The following is an 8,119-nucleotide window of genomic DNA, read 5'->3' as shown; positions in this document are numbered from 1 at the left end:
CGTGACGTGTAAGTCTTGGAGAACAGCCACAATTCTGCGGATGATTAGGAAGTGCCTTCCTGTCACACTCACTGCTCCACACTGGAGAAGCTCATCACTGCACACCCCGCCTCACAGGGCAGTCTGGAGATTGCTGCTGTTGCGATTCATGGCCCTTGGGTTCCCCAGAAGCTCACTAGAGCCTGGACATCCCAGAGGAAGGCCTCAAGCTCCAGACAGGGTCTGAATTCCAGGAGACGAGGCAGAGAGAGCCCCTCATTTCTCTCCTTTAGCCCCCAGTGACTCCGTCCCATACTCACAGGGGAGCCCAGTTCTGCCCAAAAAGTCCCATTTCAATTCGAATGAATTCAACTCAATCTCAACGATACTAGCATTGTGCAAGCCAGAGCTGGGGAGCTGGGCACACAGACACATGAAATAGGCTGTTATCAAGGTACAGGGTAAGAAGTGTTCTTAGGGAATTACAGTGACCCCTACCCCAGCAAACACCAATTTCTCGTGCTTTCATCTCCTATGCCACTTTCTGTCCATAGGGTTCATTATGGAAGAGACTATGTACTGTTCACTATCACAAGTTCATTGTTCATGGGGGTGAGTGTGCATGTGTGTTTCTGTGTGTGTTTTCATGTATGCATACGTGTGTGTGTGTGTGTGTATGTGTGTGTGTGTTTAGGATTTAAGTTCCTGGAGGGCAAAGATCATATGGTGAGTTTCCCTGACTCTTCCACAGATCTTACACAAGGCTAGGCATAAAGCTGCTCTTCAATAAACACATCAATTAATGAACGAATGAACACTGAACCCTAAACTCCCCCGTTCAGGCTGAGATCTGGGAAGAGGGTGAGCCTGGGCGTCAGGGGTGGTGCATTTGAAATGTGGTGGGTCCTAGGGGACATGAGAAGGTCTTGCTCTCTCTCTCTCTGGTCCTCAGTGTCAATCACTGTGCAGCAAAGGAGTCGAATTAGATGATCTCTAGGGTTCGCTCAGGCTCTGGAAACACTCTGTCTCCCTCCCGAAACTTGGTCTGTTCCCAATTGCCCTCCCTACTCAGCCCCTCCAGATGCAGTGCTCATGAGACTCACAAAGGCCCCCAATCTAGCTGGGGGAGGACCTTTTGTTCCCCTGCCTCATGGGGCTCAGGGCTATTTTGTCAAAATTCTCCAGGAAAAGAGAAAAAGAGCCGAGGCTTTCGTTAAAGCCCAGTGGGCAGGTCTCTCTGAGGACAGGGATTAAGTTTGTCTCTGTTGATCTCCCCTCCAGTCAACGCTGCTGTCTGGGAACCAGCTTCGGATTTTCTAGGGTTTATCCTCCCTCATATGTTTCCATTACCTTTGCATTACCCTTGCACCATTTTTAGCATTCCCTTTGGAGTACCTTTGCAAAGTAGAATAGATCTCAAAAGAACAAAGCAAATTTTGGTCCAGGCTCGTTCTAAATGAATTCCTTCTTCCTTCAACAATCCCATCTTAGGAAAGAATAGAGACCCTCCTGACTCCCAGGCCTGGGCATTTCTGCCAGACCCTCCCACCAGACCTAAAAGACCATCGCTACTGGAGAGGAAGGGGGGACAGTCTTGAAGGGCCCCAGCTTCCCTTCATCACAGCCCAGGACAATTTCAGGCTCTGATGGAGCTGATGGTGATGGGTTTGTGGATTGACCTTTTAGAGGATTATCTGGATTTGGAAGGGTCACTTAAGGGTCAGTAAGTCTGGGAGGACCAAGCCTAATTCCAAAGACAAGAGGTGGGCAGAAGGGTCTCTGTCTCCCAGTGACCCTTTCTTTCTTGGAACTGTTTGTCTACCCAGGGAAAGAGGTCTATGCCTCAGAAGGTTCTTACTCCGCACCTCAAGCAATCTGCTTTGGGCTATGAGTTTTCATTTCTACTGGGAATATGAGGTTTTTGTAGACAGTAGATGATGCTTTTGAGTAATCTGTGTGGTTTTTAAAATGCAGGTTAAAATCCTAATGTTCTGAAATGGGAGAAACACTGATAAGTTAAAAATAACTCTTTGGAGGCCGGGCGCAGTGGCTCACACCTGTAATCCCAGCACTTCGGGACGCCAGGGCGGGCAGATCACGAGGTCAGGAGATCGAGAACATCCTGGCTAACACAGTGAAACCCCATCTCTACTAAAAATACAAAAACTTAGCTGGGCATGGTGGCGGGCACCTGTAGTCCCAGCTACTTGGGAGGCTGAGGCAGGAGAATGGCGTAAACCCGGGAGGTGGAGGTTGCGATGAGCTGAGATTGCTCCACTGTGCCCCAGCCTGGGCGACAGCGAGACTCCATCTCAAAAATAAATAAATAAAAATAAAAATAACTCTTTGGGGTTCATAACCAGTTAGAGATTTTAGGTTGTTGATTGATTAGGGGAATGTTGATAACAAGATTGGCCTATTGTATGAATCTCTTACAGTATTTGGCTGTATCTGCTTCTAACAGGGCAGAGTGTAGGATCAGAGATGATATTCCTAGATATTTGCATAAGTCTGTTACAACTCATAAGGAGAGAGCTGATGAATTCCCAAAGGTGTTGATTTTACTGTCACCAAGATTGAGGGCAGGACTTTGGACCCAGGAAATTCAAGTGCTTTAGAAAGTTGGCTAACTTTAACTTGAGAATTCTATTTATCCTTTCTGTTTTGTCTGAAGATGGGGAGGCGGTATAGACAGAGGAAATTTTGAGTAAACATGAATATCTTGCAGAGCTCTTTAATGACCATCTCAGTAAAATAAAGATACTTATCCCTGGATCAGTAGATTGGGACTTCCCTAGTAGGAAATACAAAGTTTAATGGCTTTGTTTTTTATGCTCTTCAACAAAGAAAGGCTTCAACACATTTGAAAATAAACAGGCAAACAAAAACAGAAACTAGAGAACATGTTCATATTTCATCACAGAGGATAATTGTATAAAATTCATTTGGAGGTTCCCAAATGGGCCTTGAGGTCTTGATTCTCATCCATGCCCCACCTTTACTGTTTTGCCAAAATTTTGTTGCTTGTAGGTGAGGTGCCCTAGACAGGGCTCAGAAAACTATAGGCCACAGGCCAATTCTGAGCCGTAGTGTTTTTCTGTAAATAAAGTTTTGTTGGAACGCAGCCATGCCCATCTGTTTATGTACCGTCTATTGCTGCTTTTACACCATAACGGCAGAGTTCAATAGTTTGCTACAGAGATCATATGCCGCCAAACGCCTAAAGTGTTGACTAAACTCGCCCTTTACAGAAAAGGTTTATCAACCTCGGGTATAAGATATCTCTAAGATGGACAATTTTGGTCATATTACAAGTTCCTTAATGTGGCCACTGTGATTCCCGACTGTTCTCAGGGGAGTTGTGCTGTTTTGTAGGATATGCTCGAGAATTTGTGTTACAATGAGACTCGTTCAATGTGGGCATCCAGACTGTGGAGGGGTGGACTTGGACTGAGATGACCCCATGCAAGTTGGTAACAGCCAAGTGTGTTTCTTCTGTACCTCCTGTCTTGGGCTCCCAACAAGAGAGGTTGGCTACCTTCACCTGCTGTTCTCAGCAAAATGAGTTTTTGGAGATTCTGTCTCCCAAATTAACTCTCAGGAAAACAAAGTCAGGATGAAGGGAAAATAGAGTTTGTAACATTTTCAGATGGTGACCCAAGGTAAAGCTCATCTTCTGAAGGCCACCAGCCTAGCAAGACCTGAAACTTGTCATCCTTGGGGCTGGTTTGGGCCATGGACTTATTGATACTCATCTGTTGACAATTCTGTGATAATTTCCCCCTGTAGACAAATGAAGTTCATGATAAAACAGAAGATATAAGTGAGGTTAGATGAATAACATGTAAATTGTGGAAAGCCCTTGCTCAAAGAAAGTTGTTAGGATAAAAGTGAAACTGACTTTTACTTATCTACTATAGCAAGGGAGAACACTAAACCGACGATTCTTCAATAGTATCTTCTTAGGAGAAATGAGTGCATTTCATTTTATTTCTATGTGTTGGGTTCAGAAGTTTTTAGGACAGGATATCAGAAGCAGGAAAAGAACTTAGACTGCTTAATTTCTCAAGGCAAGGGTCAATGTATGAGGGGCAAGTTTCTAAGCAAAAAAAGGAAGTTTTATGTGAGTCACTACATGCTGCTGTAATGCAAAACTGATAAGGCACTTGTTCTGGTTCTCACTCCCCAATCCTTCTACAGTAATAATACCTGTCATTTATTGGGCCATGCACTGTAGATGATTTATCTCTGTGTACCTCTGTCCCAGACAGTGTTCCCACCCCATATTTAAATCCCACAATGACCCTGTAAGTTGGCATTATTTTTTTTTTCCATTTGACAGAGGTGGAAATTGAGGCATTTTCCCAAAATGTGGCAGCTAATAAGTGCCAGAGCCAAAGACAGGTCTTCCCTCTCATCAGTATCTCATTGGCTCTCCTGCAGTGGGACCCATAACACTGCCACCCTCATTCCCAGGCATTGTCTGCTTCTGTGTGGTTTTCAAGTAGCAGAGGTGTGCCCTCCAAACGTACCTAGTGGTCACACATTTTCATTTTCAGAAGGCCTCTTCTCATTTCTCTCCTTCTGCATGGGTCAATATTAAGAGAGAAAGCCATGTAAATGACCAATGATCATTAAATAATCAGTAAATGGTGCTCAGTTTCGTTAGTAACACAAATGAAAACCAAACCATAATGAAATACCATTACATACCCACTGGATAGAATAGACAAAATTAAAAACACTGATAATATCAAGTGTTGGCAAGAATTTGGAACAACTGGGACTCTTACATATTGGTGGGAGTGTAAACTAATAGAACCACTTTGGAAACTGCTTGCCAGTTTCTACTAAAACTAAATATACACCTTCCCTGTTACCCAGTATTTCACTCCCAAATATATATCCAACAAAATGATGTCCATGTTTATAACGCTTATGGTAGCACTATTTATAATAGCTAAAAACTGAAAATTTTCCAAAATGCCCATCAACAGTAAAATGGATAAATAAATTACTGTATATTCACAAAATGGAATACTATTGATGAGAATGAATGAACCACAACTCACACAACAACATGGATGAATATCACAAACATAATTTTGTTTTTTGTGTGTTTGTTTGTTTTTGAGACTGGGTCTCACACTGTCACCCAGGCTGGAGTGCAGTGGTGGGATCTCGGCTCACTGCAACCTCTGCATCCCAGATTCAAGCGATTCTCCTGCCTCAGCCTCCTGAGTAACTGGGACTACAGGCAAGTGCCACCATGCCCAGCTAATTTTCATATTTTTAATAGAGACAGGATTTCACCATGTTGGCCAGGCTGGTCTCGAACTCCTGACCTCAAGTGATCTGCATACCTTGGCCTCTCAAAGTGCTGGGATTATAGGCGTAAGCCACCACGCCCAGCCCATAATTCTGAACAAAGAATTCACACACAAGAATATATGCTGTATGGTTCCGTTTATATAAAGTACCAAAACAGCCAAAATTGTTTTAATCAGGACAAGGGTTACCCCCAGCTAGGGGGATAGAAGGACTAGAAGGAGTCAAGAAAGGGGCTTCTAGGGTACTGGTAATGCTCTGTTTTTCAAGCTAGGTGCTGAACACAAGTGTGTTCCTATTATGAAAGTTAATTGAGCTGTACTCTTACAATTTGTGTACTATTTCTAAATGCATATTATACTTTATTAATACAAGTTTTACAAAGATAAAGGCAGATAGTCTCTCCTTTCCATCCTATTTCATCCCTACCCAATAGAGTCCATTTTCAAGACAAAGGAGTTACAAATCCAGAGGGCCTGTGTCTGAAACGCCAAGCTCAGCGGTCCCTACGATGGAGGTTCCTAGCGTCTGAACTGCCCTATCCAGCCCCGTATATGCTCTGCAGTGCACCCCTTTGTCCTGCACTGATTATTTGGGCTCTGGCTGGGTTGAATTTTAGCCTCTTGTTTTTGGGGTTTGTCAAGGGTTATTATTATTCTAGGTTAATAATAAGGTCAGAGGTGGTGGAGGAGAGGGGTTGTGGATTTTTACCATAGGAAGCTTCTGAAGGGAAATGATTGTGTTTGTCTATTGATTAGTTACTATGTCCTTCAAGCATGGATTAATTAACACCTTAGGGTAGTTATGTTAGGCTGGAATGTTAAATGTAGACCCGTATATGCTCTGCAGTGCACCCCTTTGTCCTGCACCATGAAGGTAATAGAAAGGAAGTAGCAGGGTTTTAGAGTCAGACAGAGCTCAGCTCTGCCACTGACCTACTGTAGGACATTGAGCAGACCACTCAGTCTCTCCAAGCTCCTATTCCCTGTCCTCAAACAAAATGATGGCATATGCTGTTTGTTGCCTACCCAAATACCCTTCCTTCCCTGCTCTTCACTTCCCACCAGGGCTGAGCACACCAGCTGTGTGACTTCCCAGCCTCCCCTGTCGCTACAGCATGTGCATGTGACCCTTCAAAACAATGGAGATGGGAGCGCAAAAGCATGGGAGGGCACTTGAGGTCTTGGTGACATTTTTTTGCTAGGCCTGGACCCCGACCTCTGGACAAGTACAGTTGGGGAGAGGCCTTGGGTGGCTTCTCTTAGGGGTCTTAGGGGTTTGGCTTCTCAATTCCTCCCACCAGGATAGAGAAGAGCTCTTTCCAAGCTGCAAGCCAAGTCCTGGGGCAAGATAAGGAATCAGGCATACTGGATCCAACTATTAGTGGTTCAGAAGTACCTTCTTATGTCAGTTTCAACAAGTATTTGTTCAGTGCCTATGAGTGCCAGCTACCATGCTATGTGTTGGGAACACAGTGTTAGACAAGGCAAATAGGATCCTTGCCTATCTGTTAATAACAGTCACAGCAGTTAAAGCAAACTTGAACATTGCCAGCTTTTCAAATCACTGCAAGCATATTCTCAAGTATGTATTTTGAAACCCATCAAATTCCAAGGACACTTCCAGAGCTCTTGGCTTGAGGTTGCCAGAGAAGAATTATTTTGAGTGAAAAGGTATTTATTGAGCCTCTACATGTAAGATGTGAGTATAGAAACAGAGGGGGTGGGTTTTCACCCTTCAAAAAACTTAAATCCTGAAGTGGTTGCTATATGACAAATAGTTGATCGGAGTAGCATAAGGTATGTTCCAGAAACCACAGGGAGGTCTAGGGCAGTAGAGTCATCTTTGGGGAGGAGGTGACCCTAAACGTGGTAGGATTCTGTCAGACAGGAAGGACAGGAGATGGCCCCTGAAACCAAGTGAAGGCACTGCCTAAGTGGGGCAGAACACAAGCTGAGGATGGGGCTACGAGGTGAATCAGGCCAGAGAGGTGGTTTGCAGCCTGATCCGGAAGAACCTTAAATACCAGGCCAAGGAAGCAGGACCACATCCTACGAGCAAAGGGAGATTTCAGGTAAAGAAGCAATATGACAGAGTGGGTGCTGTGGGAAGATTAGTCTGACATCTGTGAAAGAGATGATTTAGAGAAGAAGACGCTGGAGGCAGCAGCTAGAAGCCTGAGCAGCTTCGGAGCTTTCAGAGAGGGGATATTACCCTCTACTTTTCCTCCTGGCTCGGTTGCCCTGCTGAGTGTCTGTAGAAGTGCTGTGTGGAAGAACACTGACTGTCCCCCAATACGCATTTAACCCTCTCTTCTTTCTCACAAAATCCTGAATTTGTTTGGGGCAGCAAGCTTCTCTGTTAAAAATATTCACCTTTCAAGTTGAATTATGCAATTTAAAAAAATATTCACAGCCCCCAAATCTAGCTAGGATGCCATGTAACACATTTCTGGCCAATGAGGTGTATAAAGAATTTTACAGTGGGGCTTCTGGAAAGGTCTTGTTTTCTGTATAAAAAGACAGAACGGGCCGGCCCAGACTTCTTTCCTCACCTTCTTCCTCCAGCCTGGAACTCAGATATGATGCCTGAAAGTGATGCAGCCATTTGTAACCATGAGAACAAAAGCTATAAGTCAAGAATGGCAGAACAGGGAGATAGCAAGAGTCTTGATTTTTTTTTTTTTTAATTGAGATGGAGTTTCACTCTTGTTGCCCAGGCTGGAGTACAATGCTGCAATCTCGGCCCACAGCAACCTCCGCCTCCTAGGTTCCAGCGGCCCTCATGCCTCAGCCTCCCGAGTAGCTGGGAT

The 8,119-nt window shown here is 44.4% G+C and overlaps 1 long non-coding RNA gene across 1 annotated transcript in view; it reads left to right on the top strand.

Annotated features, from left to right (window-relative positions):
* Positions 1 to 786, top strand: part of LOC105374568 (uncharacterized) — a 6,331-nt gene extending 5,545 nt beyond the window's left edge. The window contains exon 3 of the long non-coding RNA XR_940014.3: positions 1 to 786. This exon is cut by the window's left edge and continues 3,598 nt beyond it. This is a non-coding gene — a long non-coding RNA (uncharacterized LOC105374568).
* The last annotated feature ends 7,333 nt before the right edge of the window (positions 787 to 8,119 follow it).

Source organism: Homo sapiens, chromosome 2 (genome assembly GCF_000001405.40).
Source record: "Homo sapiens chromosome 2, GRCh38.p14 Primary Assembly".
Taxonomy (NCBI): Eukaryota; Metazoa; Chordata; class Mammalia; order Primates; family Hominidae; genus Homo; species Homo sapiens.
Note: the sequence above shows the minus strand (reverse complement) of the source record. Positions and strands in the feature narration are given on the sequence as shown.